At 40.5% G+C, this 22319-nt stretch overlaps 1 protein-coding gene and 1 long non-coding RNA gene across 22 annotated transcripts in view, besides 1 other annotated feature; one reads left to right on the top strand and one right to left on the bottom strand.

Moving 5' to 3' along the window:
- PLCH1 (phospholipase C eta 1) overlaps window positions 1–22319 on the top strand; it is a 294138-nt gene that overhangs the window by 220000 nt on the left and 51819 nt on the right. For 16 of the 20 annotated variants that reach the window (XM_017005927.2, NM_001349251.2, NM_014996.4 and 13 more), the window contains 3 exons: window positions 1068–1175; window positions 10188–10349; window positions 20446–20517. In XM_017005927.2, coding sequence (XP_016861416.1) covers window positions 1068–1175; window positions 10188–10349; window positions 20446–20517 — 342 coding nt within the window. The remainder of the gene's footprint in view (window positions 1–1067; window positions 1176–10187; window positions 10350–20445; window positions 20518–22319) is intronic. The other 4 variants (XM_047447747.1, XM_047447746.1, XM_047447745.1 and 1 more) reach the window with 1 other exon arrangement.
- Window positions 5446–12885, bottom strand: LOC124906297 (uncharacterized). 2 transcript variants are annotated; one of them, XR_007096137.1, is made up of 3 exons: window positions 12529–12885; window positions 11286–11347; window positions 5446–5621 (listed from the first exon to the last, which is right to left on the bottom strand). It is a non-coding gene; the product is annotated as an uncharacterized LOC124906297 (long non-coding RNA). The 2 variants fall into 2 exon arrangements; XR_007096138.1 differs by lacking the exon at window positions 5446–5621 and adding an exon at window positions 8062–8278.
- Window positions 12286–12942: an enhancer, noted in NCBI's record as "H3K27ac-H3K4me1 hESC enhancer chr3:155229919-155230575 (GRCh37/hg19 assembly coordinates)". NCBI's record gives its function as "activates a minimal SCP1, AML or CMV promoter by ChIP-STARR-seq in naive H9 embryonic stem cells {active_cell/tissue: H9 hESC(naive)}" and the evidence as "EXISTENCE:reporter gene assay evidence [ECO:0000049][PMID:30033119]".

Below are 22319 nucleotides of genomic sequence, written 5' to 3'. Positions count from 1 at the left end.
TTGGGATTACAGGGATGAGCTTTTGTGCCCAGCCAAGTCATCTTGTTTTTTGGTGGAGGGGGATTCTCACTTTGTCACCCAGGCTGGAGTGCAGTGGTACAAACATGATTCACTGCAGCCTCAACCTCCTGGACTCAAGTCATCCTCCTGCCTCAACCTCCTGTGTAGCTGGGATCATAGGCACATGCTACCATGCCTAGCAAATTTTTTTATTTTTTGTAGAGACAGAGGCTTATTTTTTTGCCTAGGCTGGTCTTGAAATCCTAGGGTCAAGTGATCTTCCCATCTCAGCCTCCCAAAGTGCTGGGATTACAGGTGTGAGCCACTGGGCCTGGCTCCAGGTTCCAAGTCATCTATTTTTGAATAGAAGCCTGGTTTGATTTTTCAAACTATAGTATCTCTAATTAATTCTACTTAATTGAAAGTAATAAGACTTCCCTTTTTTGAAAGTCTCCACTCCCCCTTATTTTGCCCCTAATTCAGACTGTCTGCTTTCTAGTCAGTCTGAAGTAATGATTAGCTTAATGATACAACATTTTATTTTCAGTTTTTACTTTTCAAAAATGATTTTTAATTGTAGTAAAATACATGTGACCTAAAATCTACCTAACATCTTAACTATTTTTAAATGTATACAATAAACCCTTTTTAAAGTGTGTTCAGTAGTATTAAATACATTCCCATTGTGTGCAGCCAATCTCCAAAACTCTTCATCTTGTAAAACTGAAACTCTATACCCATTCAGCAACAACTCCCGATACCCTCCTACCTTCAGCCCTTTGCCATCACCATTTTACTTTCTGTCTCTATGAATTTGATATAAATGGAATCATACAATACACTTTCTTTTATGTCTAGCTTATTTCAATCAGCATAATACCTTCAAGGTTCCTTCATTTTGTAATATGTATCAGAATTTCCTTCTTCTTAAAGGCTAAGATTCCATTGTATGTACATACACGTTTTGTTTATCCTCTCATCCATCAATGGATGCTTGGGTTACTTCCACCTTTTGGCTATTGTGAATTTATTCTCATTTTTAAATGGGATGTTTTGTTCCATTTCAGGGTAAGAAGTTGCCTTATCACCTTGGGGATGATGCAGAGGAAGGGGAAGTTTCTGATGAGGACAGTGCAGATGAAATTGAAGACGAGTGCAAATTCAAGCTCCATTATGTAAGTTGCAGGCATGACCATATTTTTTATCCTTGATATGCTGTATTAAAATGGAGTTCCAAGTTGCTACTGTGTTGGAGGCCTCACAATTATGGTGGCTGTGGTGTAGAAAGGATATTCATTGAAAATTACTTTATTTGCTGGCACATAGACATTCAAATGTTTGTTGAATGAATGAGTCAAGGATTCTTGTGTCTGAGTGTTGGAAGGAATTTTAGTGATTAATTCATTCAACCCTCTCTCCAGGGATAAATTTCCTATTACAAATTCAAAAATCAAATTGTAGTTGGAAATGTTACTGTCTTTGATAATAAAAGCTGGCTTTACTTTTAGCATTGCCTTCCCTACCTCGTGCTAGCAGCCCCCCATGCTCCCTGTCAAGGCTGGCTGGAGGAACCCCACCTGCACGTGGACCTGCTTCTCTGGGATGCCCATGCCCTCTTTAAGAAAATGTACCTTGGACCAGAGGGATTTCCAAGCCCTTCCAGACATGGACCTCTTGGCTAAATCTTTAATTTGTCAAGTCTTCAATAAAGTGGCATGGAATAGTTTGTTACTCACTTGGTGTGTCAGCCCCCTTTTCTAGATGAAGGAGCCTCCTTTGTAGAAAAGCATCATTTAGGCCTGGCGCGGTGGCTCACGCCTGTAATCCCAGCACTTTGGGAGGCCGAGGCGGGCAGATCACGAGGTCAGGAGATCGAGACCATCCTGGCTAACATGGTGAAACCCCGTCTCTACTAAAAATACAAAAAAAATTAGCCGGGCGTGGTGGTGGGCGCCTGTAGTCCTAGCTACTCCGGAGGCTGAGGCGGGAAAATGGCGTGAACCTGGGAGGCGGAGCTTGCAGTGAGCCGAGATCGCGCCACTGAACTCCAGCCTGGGCGACAGAGCGAGACTCCGTCCCCACCTCCAACCCCACACCCCACCCCCCCCGCAAAAAAAGAAAAGCATCATTTAGCCAGGTGATCCAAGGGAAATACAAACCTGAGGGAAATATAAGACTTAAAAAGATGCCTCATCGCTTCTTTCTGTAACTCTATAACTCATGTGATTGCTAGAGTAACACAGCAACCTGAGAGGAGCACACAGGGATGATAGTTTGGTATAGAATTTTATTTCTACAGAAAAGGTTAGTCCTCTAGACATCAGGACTATGATTCTACCCTCTAAAAAAAAAAAAAAAAAAGAGAGAGAAATTTTGTATAAATTCTTGTAATTTACACCATTGCCCTGAATTCAGTTATTACATTGTTAACAACAGTCCACTCTCAGATAATTCTGTGTTGGCTTTCCTGTAGTTGTGAAAATGAGCTGGCATTATTTTCAAAGGGGACAAGAGCTTAATGAGAGCTGATGTCTCAGTAGACACTTCTTTCTTGGCTTTAATGCCCTTTAAATGGGCCAAATGGAGAAGATTCAGCTTGAAGTGAAAAGGAAAAGTTACTATCTGTATTCTTCTCTTGCCTTTTAATAGTTTATGTTAGCAAAATTAAATACCATTAATTAATAGGGCTATGGTTACAGAAAATCTAAATAGAGTTACATGATTGAAAACTATGCTTGAGGTGTCATTATACAGTTAATATTTTAAATAGTTGCTTTTTTCTCCTCTAGGTATTTATTTTTTATAATTAATTATGATTATGGATAATTTAGCTTTTTTTTTAGCATTACTTTATAAACCAGATTTTTGTCTCTGATTTTTTATCATTTTGCATCTTGTTTTCTAGATCTCTTGGTTGCCAGCCATAGTGTAGATCTATCATTATTCACTCAGCTATTTCATTTTTCTTCTGATGCCAGTGAGCTCTCCAACTTCCTAAGTTAAATATATGTAGTTATGCAAAAAATAGTAAGCTGTAGTCTTATGGGAACAAATTGGAGTATCCAACTGGATTCCTCTTTTCTTTACTAAGAGTAGTTGATTTCTGGAAACCCACATCAGGAGATGGTTTGGAACATGATTCCATGGAGTTAGATATGATCTTTCATTTGGATTCTTTGGTTTGGCCCTAAGTGAAAGTAGAGCACCTTAACTGTAAATGTTTATAGGCATCTCTTTGTTATATTTTGGAAGAGAAAAGAAGTAAATCAACATTGGAGAAATATTTCAAATTGTTTTTTGCTATTTTTGAGCTTTTCTGAGAAAAGGCAATGCCGTGTTTAGAAAGGCAAAGTATTATCTTGTAATCAGACCATTTATAGTCCTATTGTTGGCAGAGGGCTCAAATGCCCTGACTGGTGAATTTATAATAAATTCCCTGAGAAACTGAATATCTGATCATATTTCTGCAAAAGAGGGTGTACTTTGGATAGTTTATATGAACCAATAATTATCTTAGAGGAAGCTCTTAACCTCAGTTTTAAGTTGAGAGAATGTGGTTAGATTTATATCTGAATTATTGCAATAAATACACATTTTAACTTTGCATTCATTTACACTGGAACACCAACTCTCATGAGGTCATGTAAGATTCATTTGTACATTCAATAAACTTTTATTAAACATCTCCTGTTGGACATGTGCTCATCATTGTTGTAGGTATTGGAGGATATATCAGTAACAAAATAGACAAAAATCATTGCCTTTGTGAAGTTTACACATCAATGGGAGAAGAGGAGGATAGACAAGAAATAAGACAAATAAGTAAAATATATAGTGTACTAGACAGTGATCAGTGCTAAAGGAAAAAAGTGTGTGTGTGTCTGTGTGCATGTGTGCACACTTATGCATGTGTATATGTAAGGGATCTATTGAAATTTTAGATGGGATGTCAACGAAAGGCCTCACAGGGAAGATGCATTTGAACAAAGGCCTGAAAGAAGTGAAGAGTTAGCCATGCTGATACCTGAGGAGGAATGTTCCAGGCAGAAAGAACCCCAAGCGCAAAGGCCAGAAGCGGGATTTGAGGCTCTCCCGGCACCACCCTGGAGTTAGATGCAGAGCAGGAGGACAAGACTCCTGTTACTTTTAAGCTAGCGGTTTAAGCCATACTGTTAAGTTTTTTTCTTATGTAATAAATGCTTCTGTTGTTGAATTAACTGAATCTTTTAAGCTTCTACCACATATTATTTTGTGGCTCCAGCCATAGAGAAAATCTGGCTCACAATGGGTAAGCCACAAGGTAAAGCCAGTGTGTTCAGTGACCCAAGAATCATACAACTCAGAGACACAGAGGACAAGTTCCTTTCAACCACAGAGTAGTAATCTAACAGATTTGATTCTGTGAGGCGAAGTCACCATTATTCATCTTTATGGGTCTTCTAATGTCAGTGTGCTCTACACACTTTCCACCTCTGTATTTTAACTTCATTAATTTTTTTCTGCTTCTGCTGAGTTATGCAGTGTCTTTTATCTTGTGCTCTCTAAATCTGTTTTGCCAGCTTCTTGGGCATAAACATTAGCTCTGTATCTCCTACGTAAAGCTGATCCCATAAACACCAAGCCTTCCAGCAAGTTCTAAAGGAGTCCTGGTGCAGTGACATGTAGCAATTTTTGTCTTATATTCTAAAACCATTATCCAGTCTGCATGTGTATATCTCTCACTAAACACTTTAATAATTTTCCTCCCTCATCTTTTTTCCTATCATTCCTTTTATGCTTTGAGCTATCCTAAAAAGGATTATGAATCTTGTTCGTTTAAAACATACCAGCACTCAAAGACAGCATGAGTTACCTCTTGAGGTTACAAGGTCTTGCTGTTGAAAGCATTCATTGAGTCAAAAAGCCCAGGTGCTGGGCATGCTAGTACATCCTGGCGACAAGGGGTAGAGAATGATAAAGGTGACTTGGAATCTCCCTGGAAGATTCTAGTTGTTTCTAATACATGGATATGACTGGTCCTTGAACAGAAGAATATGTTGTTAAGTGAGCTAAAGGAGCAGGCAGGAGATGGTAGAGGACAGGAGTAAACACACAGGCTTGAATGGCTGAGAAGCAGCTGTTCTTCAGCCAAGACCTTCAGGTCTTACAGCTTGGAAAGCAGTAAGGCACTCAGAAAGGGCAGCAATATATTATTCTTCCCATCTTTGGACTTTAGCCAAAGGAAAAAAAAATTGGGGGGATGTTGAAATACTTCAGTTTTTAGTTTTTTGCCTTTTTTTTTTTTTTTTTTAAAGCAAAGGTCCTCAACTTTTTTGCCTTTTTTTTTTTAATGCAAAGTTCCTCAACTCTGGCCACATATTGGAATGATGGGTAGCTTTCAAAAACCGCAGTGTCTGGGTCTTGGCCCAGAGATTCTGATACATGGGTCTGGGGCATGGCCTGGGATTTCTGAGCACTCTGCTGGTGATTGCAATGTGTAGTGCAGGTAGAGCCCACTGTTTGGAAGGTTCCTTTCAAGGAGCAGCACCCAATTTCTCCCCTTTCCTGGATCTTCCCAGTCTGGAATGATGGTTGTGGTTTGGGGCATCCTTCTGCATATTCAGCGATGATTTAGCTTCATGCTGGAGACAAAATGAGAATATGTTTAATTTATTTACTTGTGGTAGAGGGATTCCTAGATCAGATTTATCTCTCAAAAAAGGGAATTGAGAACCCTGATTACTTCTCTGGTGGAAACTACCCACCATATGAAATGACTGCTCTCCCCCAGCCCCCAGCTGCAGCGTCCTTTCTCACCCATTGGCCCAGAGAACAAAAGAGCAAGATACATATGGCTTTCAGCTGTGGTCCCTGCTGCAGGTGCATGGTGCCTGATAGGTCTCGAGGTCAAGTGTCTGTCTTAGCTTCCTTTCAGTAGTGCTATTGGATTCCAGGGCTGAATGATAATATATTAATGAAACCTCAGCCACACATTTATTTGTTCTTCACAGCTGCCAATTTTCTTGTGCAGTAAATCACAGAGCAGAAAAAGATCAACAGGCAGAGATATCATTCCTTTAGCAGCTCCCAGTATTTGGAGGATGTGAAGTGAATAATTATAGCTTTTGTGTTAAGCATTCTTTATTTTACCAGCTCTGGATCGGCTCTGGCTTTGTATTTTGAGCCTTTCCTTGCTGACAGTGAAAGTGACTTGGTGTTATGGCCACAGATCTTCTCCTTACTTGAAGTCTCTGCCTCTTTGTGAGGCCCTGAGTGAGAGAAGGAAATGGATGCTCATTTGGAGCATTCTGTGTGATACTGGATACCCTAGGTGCTCTTAAATGCTTTCTTTTTTTTTGTCCTCGCAGCAAATGCACACTCCTTTGGGCCCTGGGTCTTGATCAAATGCGTTGGGGGTTAGAGACGTGGAGTTCTTTTCTTGGATTTGCTTCTGACCTTAAGTGAAATTGTTTTTCCCAGAGGGATTGTGATGATGTATTTCCCTGGTTCCATGATAGAAATAATGGCTTTTTAAAATATGAACCTGTGCATGGTTACTTTGACTCAAGAATTTCTCTTTTCTCTTTTTCTGTAACAATATAAGAGGGATGGCTGCTGCATTGTATGGAAAAATAGCCACAGTCTTGAATGGGAAGTCTTAGGAGGTTCAAGCTGCAATTCAGCCATTTTCATAGGCCTGTGTGTTTGGTTGAGTGGCTGAACCTTTCTGCCTGTGTCATTATGAGAAAAAATTGGCTAGCCCTAGTGTTTGCCTTAAACAGGGTTCAGCAGCTCAAATGAAGTATCTTTACATGACAGTGCTTTGGGAGCCTTAGTACAATACAGTCTCCCCCTTATTTGTGGGTTTGCTTCCTGCAGTCAATCATGGCCCAAAATATTGATTGAAAAATTCTATAATAAACAATTTGTAAGTTGTGAATTGTGCACCATTCTGAGAAGTGTGATGAAATCTTGCACTGTCTACTCCACCCCACGTGGGATGTGAATCATCCCTTTGTCCAGTGTATCCACCCATTACTATATGGGAAAAAACACAGCATACATAGGGGTCAGGACTATCCATGGTTTTCAGCATCCAATGAGGATTTTTTGATGTATCTCCCATGCATAAAGGGGGACTACTGTGTACAATCTTAGTTGCTTTTTCTGTATTTCCCTGTGGCTCATTTCTCCTTGCTCATATGATTACTGGTTCTTTTGATACTTTTTGTTTTCTCCATGCTTTTCCTCACATTGAAATGCTGTCCCCCTACTCTTTGCCAGATGATCAGCTGTTAGTCATTACAGTGGGTTCATTTGTGGCCACTGAAAGATAGGTTCAAGTCTTAATCCGTGGTACTTATGTATGTGAGCTTATTTGGAAAAAGGGTCTTTGCGGATGTAATTAAGTTAAGGACTTCAAGATAATATAATCCTGGGTTAACCACGTGGGCCCTAAATCCAATGACAATGTCCTCATAAGAAGAGAAGACACAAACAGATGGGTGAGACATGCATGAGAAGACCATATAAAGACAGAGACAGAAATTGGAGTGATGCTGCCACAAGCCAAGGAATACATAGGGCCACCATAAGCTGGAAGAGGCAAGGAAGGATCCTCCCCTAGAGCTTTCAGAGGGAGTGTAGCCCTGCCAACACCTAGACTTCATACTTTTGGCCTCCAGACGTGTGAGAAAATAAGTACATTTCTATTGTTTTAAGATATCAGGTTTGTAGCAATTTGTTAAATTGGTCACAGGAAACTTTATTTTATTATTATTTTTTAGAGACAGGGCTTCGCTCTGTGGCTCAGGCTGGAGTGATGTGGCATGATCATAGCTCACTGCAGCCTCAAACTCTTGGGCTCATGGGATCCTTCCACCTCAGCCTCCCAAGTAGCTAGGGCTACAGGTGCATGCCACCATGCCCAGCTAATTTTGTAAATTTTTGTAGAGACAGGGTCTCATTATGTTGCCCAGGCTGATATCAAACTCCTGGACTCAAGCGATCCTCCCAGTTTGGCCTCCCAAAGTGCTGGGATTACAGACATGAGCCATGGCACCTGGCCAAGTCACAGGAAACTAATATACTTATCTTTTAAGGCTTGACTCAGGTTTCTTATGCTCCTGGAATTGTCCCCCGATTCCCCAAGGCTGGACAAGTTGCGCCTCCTCTGTGTGCATATGCTACCCCTCTCTACTTGTTCCTGCTTGTGTAATTATCCAGGGATGTGTTGGCCTTCTCAATGACACTGAGGGCTCTGTGACAGTGGGGGGTATTCCTCTTTAATACTTCTCACCTGGCACAGCAGAAACACAATACATGGTTTTTTTTTTAATACAAAATGAGTTTTGTTCCCAAACTATCTCTCAACTTTATTAACTACCCCCAGCACATTGGCCTAGGCACTTAGTACCTGCACTGGGGCCCAGTGTGCCTGATGTTTCATCTGCAGACACACTTCCTCTTTTGGCATACGCTGCCAGATTAATACTGTTTCTAGAGTTGCTACCCAAGGACTTGTTCACTCAAAGACTCTCTTAGCAGCTCCATACCTCTTGCTTTCAAGTCCCTCCGCTCTCCAAAGTTCTTTATCTGCCACTACCCTACTCCATGAACTCTAGGAAAACTCATGTGTTCTTTGCATTTACAGAACATTCTTAATTCATGTAAATCCTTTGCTAGAACTGTGGTTGGCAGGAAAGCCCTTCTTTCCATCACTGTTGAAATCTCAGTTACAATGAGTTACAATCACTTCCCACCTCTTTTGTGGGGCCTTCTCAGTCACTCAGGTAGTAATGCCGTGTTCCTTATCAGAAACTCTGTTGTATTGGTTGTCTGTGCTTTTGTGGGCATCTCTGATGACCAGGGTAGAATATTTGGGGACATGCCTTTTCTAGCATGACAGGAGGGTGTTCCCTTCTGATGTTAAGAGCCAACTCTTTTTTCATCCTTGCATCTCCTTCTGGACCTGGAGGTCTCCAGGGAAGTGGAGTGCCTCATTAATTGGGCATGTTAAAGATATTAATGCATGTGATAGTGATACAGGGAAATTCAATAACCTATCCTGGTATAGATTTTTGAAATTTTTCCTTAGGGCATTTATAATTGCTTTGCTCTTACAGGATTTTGTGAAAATGAATGCATTATTGGAAAGCTACCCATTATGCAGAGTCCACATATAATGACCTCTTAGAAATAGATTTGCAAATGGAAGAACAGCCTTAAACTTTTCGTGAAGAATGTGGGAATTGCTCTTGTGAAGGAGTATCCCTTTCCTCCCTTTGGGGGGTTGGTCTTTAGCAAGTGGTTGAAGAATTTATGGAAAGGTATTGGAAACAGGGAGAGGTAGGTGCACTGGAAGAGCAGAAGAGCTATGAACGGAGGCTGGGGCCATTGGTTTCAAGCAGAACAAATGGCCGAAAAGCTGTGCTAAGCAGGACTTTGAGAGAATCTATATCCCATGATCACCTCAAAATTCTGTGAGTCATCATCTGGACAGGTCATAGCTCTGATATCCAAACCCCTTGAAATTTGTTGTGATCTTAAAGTAATTGTAATGACAAATCATGGCTGAGGTAATAATTGGGGTTCCCCCTAACTATACAATGGGATTGGAAATAGTAAGGAAATATATCTCACAATAATCCTCAACTCCTGAAATTTCCATAGCATTCTTTTCTCCTCAGTGAAAAAAGTAGTTTTATTTTAATAGCATATTTTTGTTCTAATTTATTTATGTAGGTTTAGAAAACTTAGTTTCCAAAAACTTTCCCTGGCCTTTTATCTGTTAAAAGCATCAAATAGCATAAGCATAGGGGGAAGGGCTTTGGAGTCCTGAGTTTGAATCCTGCTTCAGTTATTTGCTAGCTATGTAACCAGGAACAACTTACTTGATTTCTCTCTAAGCATCAGATTCTATATCACTGAAATGGAAATGATAATAATACTTATAAGGTTCCTGAGGACTGAATGCAGTCACATGAAGAGTAGCTGGCAGAGAATTAGTTCTTAATAAATAGTAATCCTTATTATTAAAGGATTTGTGGAGGAGGGAAGACTGAGATGGTACAATGAACTTGAGCTTAATTTCTTACAAGTAATTGAGAGAAGTGAAATTATAGAAGCAATTGTGGCTTGATCAAAGGGTATATTCTAATTCGGTGTGTTTCTTAAGGAAATCATTTGTGTTACTTAATTCTTTGCAGAGTAATGGGACCACTGAGCATCAGGTGGAATCTTTCATAAGGAAAAAACTGGAGTCACTGTTAAAAGAATCTCAAATTCGAGATAAAGAAGATCCTGATAGTTTCACAGTGCGGGCACTACTGAAGGCCACGCATGAAGGCTTAAATGCACACCTGAAGCAGGTATCTGATTCCCTCTTGTACTTATCCTTCAACAGGAAAAAAAAAGCATCTCATACTTTGTTTCTAATCATTTGTGAAATGCTCCTCCAACTTCTTCTATTTCTGTCCTCATTTTGCTTGAGAAATGAAAATCTCTTATTGCAAAATGATATGAGAAATAGTTAAAAGTGGATTGGGTGGAGGTAGAAATGACTCAAATACTGCTCCACTTGGACCCTCAGGACAAAGCCCAGTGTTTCCAGACTCATCTTCCTAATGCATGCTCAGGTGAGGGAAGAAGTTTCAGCCCACTGTGTCCCTTACACTCCCACCTCTCCACATTCATTAGATGTCTGCCTTCCCTGCTACTTACCACCTGTTTTTCAGGGCTGAGGGCTCTTCAGGCAGAAGGAAGATCATATGGGGGTGACCGCCCTTGGATCCTAAGTGATCACTCTGCATTGATGGTTGCCCTCTGGACCCTATACAAGTCTAGCCATCCAACTGCCAGGCTGTTCCTCAGGCCCATTTAGTTTCTAAACTTAGAAATCCTAATACAAAATGGCTTCAATGATGAAGAAGATGTTGGTAAGCGGCAAATTTATTTGTAGAATGGCCTATGGGGTGGATTTAATCCCAAGGCTCAGTGGTGTCATTGTAGCTCTATTTTTTTGCTCTACCTATCATGCCATCAGTGTCATCTCAAGTCTGGTTCTCCTGTCTATGATGGTTGCGAGATAACTGCCAATAGCCCCATGAGTTACATGTTTCTTGGTCCATATCCAGAGAGATTGAGACAGCATATTTGCCCCAACTAACAAACGAGAGTTTTGTTAACCTAGTTCATGTGCCTACCCCCAAGCTAATCATAGTGGCCATGGGTAAGTGTCCTTCCTGAAACAGTACTTGGCCAGAGTATAGGATAATATTGGCTTGCTAATGCCAGTGAGAACTTACCTCTGAAGCTCTTGTCAAGGTTAGCTCCTCTCAAACTGCATGTTAGAGGGGCAGATGGAATACTGGGGAGACAACCAAAAGGTCAATGACAGCATTACTGCCCTTATAGTTTACCATGTAATTCTGGATTTTCTTAATAATTTCTATGAATAGTAACAATCTTTCCACCCTCCTCGCCTCCAGCCATTTATTTTCAACACCACAAGTGCCTGTAAGATCAGACTTGTTTAGCCCATCTTGATTCTGCTTCTTGTCCTTGGTGAACTCTCATTGGCTTATCTGGGCCAGTTACTTCCCTTATGCGTTTGGAGAAGTCTTTGCCCCATCCTAGATTATTCTCATTGGAAATGCAACCATAAGGCTTGGATATTTTGGAAGAAACAAATTAAGCCCTTCTATCTTTTGCTTTCACTGAAGAGATCCTAATGACAATTTCTCCATCAGGTAAAGTGGTAAGAGAACCAAAAATTTTTGAGAGGTAGTGTAGCAAAACTCATCTCCTTTTTACTTATTTTTGAGGTTTTTAACACTGCTATGTTTTAAAAATATGGTTTTGGTTCACTGGGCAAGCAAAGGCAAGTTACTGTTGAGACGAGGCCCTCTGTGCCAGATACATATGTCGGTTTAAATCCAAAGCTGAGAATGTGCTGAGTATGGCTCTGGGCAGCACGTCACTCCAGCTTCTACTTTTCTGGACCGTCAATTAACAGTGCAGGACTGGTTTCTACTTGTCCTGTCTTTTTCCTGCGGAGCTCTGAAGAAAAGTAAAAATGAAATTTGCCTTCAGGCTGGAAGAACTTAGTAGTCACAGGAAATGGTTCTTAAGAGTTCTGGAATCTGCTGCTTTCTTTATATCTGAACTGCTGCTGCCTGAATAACCTTAACAAGTTCCTAAGCTCTCAGCTGCCCTGCTTAATGTCTCATTCACACCACTGCCATAGTGATAGTTCAGAAATGTGCATCTGGTCATGTCACTCTCCTGTCTTCAACCATCTCAGGGCTCCTCATAGTTTGGAGGATAAAGCTCAAATTCAGAGATAATAGCCCATAAGATCCTTCCTTTCTGTTCTGGCTCCTAGCGGTGACACCCACAGAGTGTGCATGTGTAGGAGTCCACACGTGCACACCTCCACTTTCTTCATTTCCTGGTACCGTGCTCTTACCACATGGCTTTCATATTGGCTGTTTTCTTGGCCATAGTACACTTCGTCTTCCCCATTTCACATAGATAACTTGTACTCACCTTTAGGCTTCAGCTTTTGTGTCATGTCCCCTTGGAAGTTCTTAATCCTCAAATCCAGGTAGATGGTCTCCCTGTGCCATCCCACAGTGCCCTAAGCTTTCCCCATTATAGTCTTATGACAGTGTGTTGTAATCTTTTGTGTCTACGATTAGACTGCAAGCCCAGTAGGGAGAGAGTCTGCATCTCTCTTGTTTGCTCTTGTCGTTATGTATATGCCAAGTTCCTAGGACAATGTCTTACTCAATAATTCAGTGAAAGATGTGCCGGTGCTCAGGGAGAGGTCAAAGTTGGTGATAGGTATTTGTAGATATCTGTTTCCTACATAAAGAGAGTGAGAATGGGAGGGCGAGGCATTGCCTCACCTGGGAAGCGCAAGGGGTCAGGGAGTTCCCTTTCCGAGTCAAAGAAAGGGGTGACGGACGCACCTGGAAAATCGGGTCACTCCCACCTGAATATTGCGCTTTTCAGACCGGCTTAAGAAACGGCGCACCACGAGACTATATCCCACACCTGGCTCAGAGGGTCCTACGCCCACGGAATCTCGCTGATTGCTAACACAGCAGTCTGAGATCAAACTGCAAGGCGGCAATGAGGCTGGGGGAGGGGCGCCCGCCATTGCCCAGGCTTGCTTAGGTAAACAAAGCAGCCTGGAAGCTCGAACTGGGTGGAGCCCACCACAACTCAAGGAGGCCTGCCTGCCTCTGTAGGCTCCACCTCTGGGGGCAGGGCACAGACAAACAAACAGACAGCAGTAACCTCTGCAGACTTAAGTGTCCCTGTCTGACAGCTTTGAAGAGAGCAGTGGTTCTCCCAGCACGCAGCTGGAGATCTGAGAACGGGCAGACTGCCTCCTCAAGTGGGTCCCTGACCCCTGACCCCCGAGCAGCCTAACTGGGAGGCACCCCCCAGCAGGGGCACACTGACACCTCACACAGGGTATTCCAACAGACCTGCAGCTGAGGGTCCTGTCTGTTAGAAGGAAAACTAACAACCAGAAAGGACATCTACACCGAAAACCCATCTGTACATCACCATCATCAAAGACCAAAAGTAGATAAAACCACAAAGATGGGGAAAAAACAGAACAGAAAAACTGGAAACTCTAAAACGCAGAGCGCCTCTCCTCCTCCAAAGGAACACAGTTCCTCACCAGCAACGGAACAAAGCTGGATGGAGAATGATTTTGACGAGCTGAGAGAAGAAGGCTTCAGACGATCAAATTACTCTGAGCTACGGGAAGACATTCAAACCAAAGGCAAAGAAGTTGAAAACTTTGAAAAAATTTAGAAGAATGTATAACTAGAATAACCAATACAGAGAAGTGCTTAAAGGAGCTGATGGAGCTGAAAAGCAAGGCTCGAGAACTACGTGAAGAATGCAGAAGCCTCAGGAGCCGATGCGATCAACTGGAAGAAAGGGTATCAGCAATGGAAGATGAAATGAATGAAATGAAGCGAGAAGGGAAGTTTAGAGAAAAAAGAATAAAAAGAAATGAGCAAAGCCTCCAAGAAATATGGGACTATGTGAAAAGACCAAATCTACGTATGATTGGTGTACCTGAAAGTGATGTGGAGAATGGAACCAAGTTGGAAAACACTCTGCAGGATATTATCCAGGAGAACTTCCCCAATCTAGCAAGGCAGGCCAATGTTCAGATTCAGGAAATACAGAGAACGCCACAAAGATACTCCTCGAGAAGAGCAACTCCAAGACACATAATTGTCAGATTCACCAAAGTTGAAATGAAGGAAAAAATGTTAAGGGCAGCCAGAGGGAAAGGTCGGGTTACCCTCAAACGAAAGCCCATCAGACTAACAGCGGATCTCTCGGCAGAAACCCTACAAGCCAGAAGAGAGTGGGGGCCAATATTCAACATTCTTAAAGAAAAGAATTTTCAACCCAGAATTTCATATCCAGCCAAACTAAGCTTCATAAGTGAAGGAGAAATAAAATACTTTATAGACAAGCAAATGCTGAGAGATTTTGTCACCACCAGGCCTGCCCTAAAAGAGCTCCTGAAGGAAGCGCTAAACATGGAAAGGAACAACCGGTACCAGCCGCTGCAAAATCATGCCAAAATGTAAAGACCATCGAGACTAGGAAGAAACTGCATCAACTAATGAGCAAAATCACCAGCTAACATCATAATGACAGGATCAAATTCACACATAACAATATTAACTTTAAATATAAATGGACTAAATTCTGCAATTAAAAGACACAGACTGGCAAGTTGGATAAACAGTCAAGACCCATCAGTGTGCTGTATTCAGGAAACCCATCTCACGTGCAGAGACACACATAGGCTCAAAATAAAAGGATGGAGGAAGATCCACCAAGCCAATGGAAAACAAAAAAAGGCAGGGGTTGCAATTCTAGTCTCTGATAAAACAGACTTTAAACCAACAAAGATCAAAAGAGACAAAGAAGGCCATTACATAATGCTAAAGGGATCAATTCAACAAGAGGAGCTAACTATCCTAAATATTTATGCACCCAATACAGGAGCACCCAGATTCATAAAGCAAGTCCTGAGTGACCTACAAAGAGACTTAGACTCCCACACATTAATAATGGGAGACTTTAACACCCCACTGTCAACATTAGACAGATCAACGAGACAGAAAGTCAACAAGGATACCCAGGAATTGAACTCAGCTCTGCACCAAGCAGACCTAATAGACATCTACAGAACTCTCCACCCCAAATCAACAGAATATACATTTTTTTCAGCACCACACCACACCTATTCCAAAATTGACCACATAGTTGGAAGTAAAGCTCTCCTCAGCAAATGTAAAAGAACAGAAATTATAACAAACTATCTCTCAGACCACAGTGCAATCAAACTAGAACTCAGGATTAAGAATCTCACTCAAAGCCGCTCAACTACATGGAAACTGAACAACCTGCTCCTGAATGACTACTGGGTACATAACGAAATGAAGGCAGAAATAAAGATGTTCTTTGAAACCAACGAGAACAAAGACACCACATACCAGAATCTCTGGGACGCATTCAAAGCAGTGTGTAGAGGGAAATTTATAGCACTAAATGCCCACAAGAGAAAGCAGGAAAGATCCAAAATTGACACCCTAACATCACAATTAAAAGAACTAGAAAAGCAAGAGCAAACACATTCAAAAGCTAGCAGAAGGCAAGAAATAACTAAAATCAGAGCAGAACTGAAGGAAATAGAGACACAAAAAACCCTTCAAAAAATCAAAGAATCCAGGAGCTGGTTTTTTGAAAGGATCAACAAAATTGATAGACCGCTAGCAAGACTAATAAAGAAAAAAAGAGAGAAGAATCAAATAGACACAATAAAAAATGATAAAGGGGATATCACCACTGATCGCACAGAAATGCAAACTACCATAAGAGAATACTACAAACACCTCTACGCAAATAAACTAGAAAATCTAGAAGAAATGGATACATTCCTCGACACATACACTCTCCCAAGACTAAAACAGGAAGAAGTTGAATCTCTGAATAGACCAATAAGAGGCTCTGAAATTGTGGCAATAATCAATAGTTTACCAACCAAAAAGAGTCCAGGACCAGATGGATTCACAGCCGAATTCTACCAGAGGTACAAGGAGGAACTGGTACCATTCCTTCTGAAACTATTCCAATCAATAGAAAAAGAGGGAATCCTCCCTAACTCATTTTATGAGGCCAGCATCATTCTGATACCAAAGCCGGGCAGAGACACAACCAAAAAAGAGAATTTTAGACCAATATCCTTGATGAACATTGATGCAAAAATCCTCAATAAAATACTGGCAAACCGAATCCAGCAGCACATCAAAAAGCTTATCCATCATGATCAAGTGGGCTTCATCCCTGGGATGCAAGGCTGGTTCAATATACGCAAATCAATAAATGTAATCCAGCATATAAACAGAGCCAAAGACAAAAACCACATGATTATCTCAATAGATGCAGAAAAAGCCTTTGACAAAATTCAACAAGCTTCATGCTAAAAACTCTCAATAAATTAGGTATTGATGGGACGTATTTCAAAATAATAAGAGCTATCTATGACAAACCCACAGCCAATATCATACTGAATGGGCAAAAACTGGAAGCATTCCCTTTGAAAACTGGCACAAGACAGGGATGCCCTCTCTCACCGCTCCTATTCAACATAGTGTTGGAAGTTCTGGCCAGGGCAATCAGGCAGGAGAAGGAAATAAAGGGTATTCAATTAGGAAAAGAGGAAGTCAAATTGTCCCTGTTTGCAGACGACATGATTGTTTATCTAGAAAACCCCATCATCTCAGCCCAAAATCTCCTTAAGCTGATAAGCAACTTCAGCAAAGTCTCAGGATACAAAATCAATGTACAAAAATCACAAGCATTCTTATACACCAACAACAGACAAACAGAGAGCCAAATCATGAGTGAACTCCCATTCACAATTGCTTCAAAGAGAATAAAATACCTAGGAATCCAACTTACAAGGGATGTGAAGGACCTCTTCAAGGAGAACTACAAACCACTGCTCAAGGAAATAAAAGAGGACACAAACAAATGGAAGAACATTCCATGCTCATGGGTAGGAAGAATCAATATCGTGAAAATGGCCATACTGCCCAAGGTAATTTACAGATTCAATGCCATCCCCATCAAGCTACCAATGACTTTCTTCACAGAATTGGAAAAAACTACTTTAAAGTTCATATGGAACCAAAAAAGAGCCCGCATCGCCAAGTCAATCCTAAGCCAAAAGAACAAAGCTGGAGGCATCACACTACCTGACTTCAAACTATACTACAAGGCTACAGTAACCAAAACAGCATGGTACTGGTACCAAAACAGAGATATAGATCAATGGAACAGAACAGAGCCCTCAGAAATAATGCCACATATCTACAACTATCTGATCTTTGACAAACCTGAGAAAAACAAGCAATGGGGAAAGGATTCCCTATTTAATAAATGGTGCTGGGAAAACTGGCTAGCCATATGTAGAAAGCTGAAACTGGATCCCTTCCTTACACCTTATACAAAAATCAATTCAAGATGGATTAAAGATTTAAACGTTAGACCTAAAACCATAAAAACCCTAGAAGAAAACCTAGGCATTACCATTCAGGACATAGGCGTGGGCAAGGACTTCATGTCCAAAACACCAAAAGCAATGGCAACAAAAGCCAAAATTGACAAATGGGATCTAATTAAACTAAAGAGCTTCTGCACAGCAAAAGAAACTACCATCAGAGTGAACAGGCAACCTACAACATGGGAGAAAATTTTCGCAACCTACTCATCTGACAAAGGGCTAATATCCAGAATCTACAATGAACTCAAACAAATTTACAAGAAAAAAACAAACAACCCCATCAAAAAGTGGGCAAAGGACATGAACAGACACTTCTCAAAAGAAGACATTTATGCAGCCAAAAAACACATGAAAAAATGCTCATCATCACTGGCCATCAGAGAAATGCAAATCAAAACCACTATGAGATATCATCTCACACCAGTTAGAATGGCAATCATTAAAAAGTCAGGAAACAACAGGTGCTGGAGAGGATGTGGAGAAATAGGAACACTTTTACACTGTTGGTGGGACTGTAAACTAGTTCAACCATTGTGGAAGTCAGTGTGGCGATTCCTCAGGGATCTAGAACTAGAAATACCATTTGACCCAGCCATCCCATTACTGGGTATATACCCAAAGGACTATAAATCATGCTGCTATAAAGACACATGCACACGTATGTTTATTGCGGCACTATTCACAATAGCAAAGACTTGGAACCAACCCAAATATCCAACAATGATAGACTGGATTAAGAAAATGTGGCACATATACACCATGGAATACTATGCAGCCATAAAAAATGACGAGTTCATGTCCTTTGTAGGGACATGGATGAAATTGGAAACCATCATTCTCAGTAAACTATCGCAAGAACAAAAAACCAAACACCGCATATTCTCACTCATAGGTGGGAATTGAACAATGAGATCACATGGACACAGGAAGGGGAATATCACACTCTGGGGACTGTGGTGGGGTGGGGGGAGGGGGGAGGGATAACATTGGGAGATATACTTAATGCTAGTTGACACGTTAGTGGGTGCAGCGCACCAGCATGGCACATGTATACATATGTAACTAACCTGCACAATGTGCACATGTACCCTAAAACTTAAAGTATAATAAAAAAAAAAAAAAAAAAAGAGAGTGAGAATGGGATAGAAAATGTTGGAGAAGTGGAAGGAAGCCAGAGAGAGGACTTGTAGCTAGACAGAATCCTGTTTTATCACCAACAAGCTTTGTAACTTTGGGCATATAATCTAACTTTCTGTATTTCTGCTTTCCTTTTCTGTAAAATTGGAATTTAATTATACTTATTCCCAGGGTTGGTTATGCATAGTAAATGAGAATATATGTAATGCAATTAGCATTATCCTTAGGGTATAATAGGTTCCTACTAAATAGGGTGACCATATACCTCAATTTGCCTGTGACAGCCGTGCTTTATACCTGTTGTCCCAGCATAATTATTAAAAGTATCCCATTTTATTCTTAAAAGGTCCTGTTTTGGATAATAAATGGCATAGTCCCTACTAGAAATAGAGAGGAACTCACAGATTAATTGGTCCATTTCACAGATTAAAAAAAAAAAAAAAGCGGACCAAGAGAAGAGGCTTGCTAAAGGAAATGTAGCTACTTGTTGGCAGAACTGGGTCTTCTGACTTGGAGAGCAGTGCTATGTCTATGATCACATCCAGCTGCCTTCTTAATTCCACAGTTTTTGAACAGTTAATGATCCGCATTAATAGATCTCCAAAAGCAATAAACATGTATGAATCAGTTAACAGTTACCTAACATCAATCACCTTGTAAACCCCTCACCATTACTCCTCCAGCATTTTTTGAACTGCTCTTTCCCCAACCAGTTCTTGGACTCCACCCAATCTCTTCCTACCCCTACTTGCATCTTTGATTAGCATCTATGGGCATATACAGATCCCCTTCCCAACCTTTTGGCTTTAACTGTTTTTTCTCACCCACATTTATTCCATTTATGTGGTTACCTGCTTCTTCTCTGTTTAGCTGGAGTCTTGGTCAGGTAGGGCCTACTGGTCTCTCCTTATACCATGTTATTAGTAATGAACCACCTAACATATTTTTAAGGATGACAAATGAATAAGAGTTTAAACTCTCTTAGCAGGTGGACTTTCTGTTACCTAATGAGACATAGGCTCCAGGAAAGAGAGTTGGCCCAGTATCTCTAACTGGAAAATTAACCTATGTGAGGAAAAATTCAGAGGCTACAATACCTCTTTCCAGTGCTCATCACAGAGGGAATTATTTCAACGAACACATAAACTTTGCTTGGTTTACTTTAAACAAAAACAATCTATTATCTCATAGATATCCTTGGATTTTATTTATTTATAATGTTTTAAAATCCCACATAGCACTGTTTAGTCAATGTGATCCACTTTCTTTATTCAATAGAATTGGCTGCTAATGACTTTTGGTCATTTTCCAAAACTGAATCCCTACTTAACTGAAAATGACTTAACCCCACTCAGAACATTTAAAAGAACACATCCTGTGCTGTGGAGAGCCTGGTGAACAGGCACCATGAGGGCCAGCACACCTGCACACTGCTGAGAGCCCTTGACCTCAGCTTTGGGAAGGTGCAGGCAGCTGCTGCGTCCTGGCTGGCATCCATCTCTCCATGCCAATATTTCCCTTTCCAAGGCAGGCAGAGCCACCTTTGTGGTAGTGGAGTGTGGAGCAGGAGGAAATGAGTGGAGTCTGCTTGTTTCTCACCTAGAGGCAAACAGAAGAGAAAAGAGGGCCCCCTTGCTATTCCACCAGAACTAAGGAAAAAGACAAAAGCAAAGAAGATAAATAGTTATATTATGCCTTTATTTATTCAGAGTCCAGATGTAAAGGAAAGTGGAAAGAAATCACATGGACGATCCCTCATGACCAACTTTGGAAAACATAAGGTATGAATTAAGAGTAATAACTATGCATACTTCAGTTAATTTAAAGATTCTGGAAGATAACAGGAGAATATCATCATGACCTTGGAATAACTGAAGATTTCTTAACCAGCACGTCAGCAAAGGAAAAGATTGATATTTAAACTACTTTAAAAGTTAAGAACTTCTACGCATCAACAGTATCAAAAAGCAAGTTGCATACTGGGAAAGAATATTTTGAATACATATATCCAATAATATATCCAAAAAACTGTATTTAACATCTTAAATATACATATCCAATACATAATGGGTATGTGTTATTAAAACTGGTATGTGTATTATATATTCTATCCTGAATATATAAATAGCTTCTATAAATCAATAAAAAGATAGGCAACTTAATTTCTAAAAGATGGGCAAAACACTTAAACAGGCAGTTCACAAAAGAAGATATCCAAATTGCTAATAAAGAAAAGGAATTCACCCGTCAGTCATCTGGGAAACACAATTTAAAATGACTATGTGATTCCATATATGCCCGCCACAACAGGTAACATTAAAAGATGGCAAGAACCAAATGTTAGTGAGGATGAAGCAGTTGAATTCTCAAACACTACTTATGGTTGTGCACATTTGTGCAAGTACTTTGGCCCACTATTTCACAGTATCTGCTAAAGCTGCACTATGTACTATGACTTAGCAGTTCTATTGTTAGGTATATGTCAAAAGACAGAAATAGGCCAGGCGTGGTGGCTCACACCTGTAATCCCAGCACTTTGGGAGGCCTTGGTGGGTGGATCACCTGAGGTCAGGTGTTCAAAACCAGCCTGGCCAACATGGCCAAACACTGTCTCTACTAAAAATACAAAAATTAGCCAGGTGTGGTGGTGTGTGCCTGTAATCCCAGCTACTCAGGAGGCTAAGGCATGAGAACTGCTTGAACCCAGGAGGCAGAGGTTGCAGTGAGGCGAGATTGCACCACTGCACTCCAGCCTGGGCAACAAGAGTGAAACTCCATCTACAGAAAAAAAAAAAAAAGACAGAAGTAACAATACTTATATTGAGATTGGTAATAGTACAAAGAGGAAAAAGTACAAATGTCCATTGATAATAGAATGAGTAAAAATTGTGGTGTATTCATATAAGAGAATAGTTAACAACTAAGAAAATGACAAAATTACAACTATATGCAATAATATGATCTTTATAAACATGATGTTGAGCAAAATAAACCAGACCCAAGAGAGTACATACAGTTTTATTCCATCAATATTAAATTCAAAACCAGGCAAAAGAAACCCTATAGAGTAGACATCAGAATAGTTATTACCTTCACAGAGAAAGGAATGACAGAATTGGAGGATCAGAAGGCTTTTGGGGGACAGATAATATTCTATTTCGTCGTATGTGTGGTTTTGATTTGTGAAAGACATCAACCTGCACACTTATGACCAGTGTACTGTCCCAACTGTATGTTACACTTCAATAAAATAGTGAAAAAAGATGTTACACTAATCTGGTGTCTTCTGGACAGATTAGCTGTTTGTCAGTAAAACTTACATAAGAATTCAATTATTAGATGGAGAACTTTACATTATACGTGAGGTTTCTGTAAGGCCATTTCTTCTACTTTAAGGAATGTCATATTTAGAATTTCCTGCCCGTCAGTGAGATAATTTGTTAGTAGGCTAGTCAGATTAGTCATTATCACAAAATATTGAAAACAACCAAAATGTTCACCTCCAAAGACTGTGTAAGTAATCCGTGAATCATTCACATAATGGACAATGATGCAGCCATTAAAAGATGATCCCTCGGAAGAG

The sequence above is a fragment of the Homo sapiens genome, chromosome 3 (genome assembly GCF_000001405.40).
Source record: "Homo sapiens chromosome 3, GRCh38.p14 Primary Assembly".
In the NCBI taxonomy this organism is placed as follows: Eukaryota; Metazoa; Chordata; class Mammalia; order Primates; family Hominidae; genus Homo; species Homo sapiens.
Note: the sequence above shows the minus strand (reverse complement) of the source record. Positions and strands in the feature narration are given on the sequence as shown.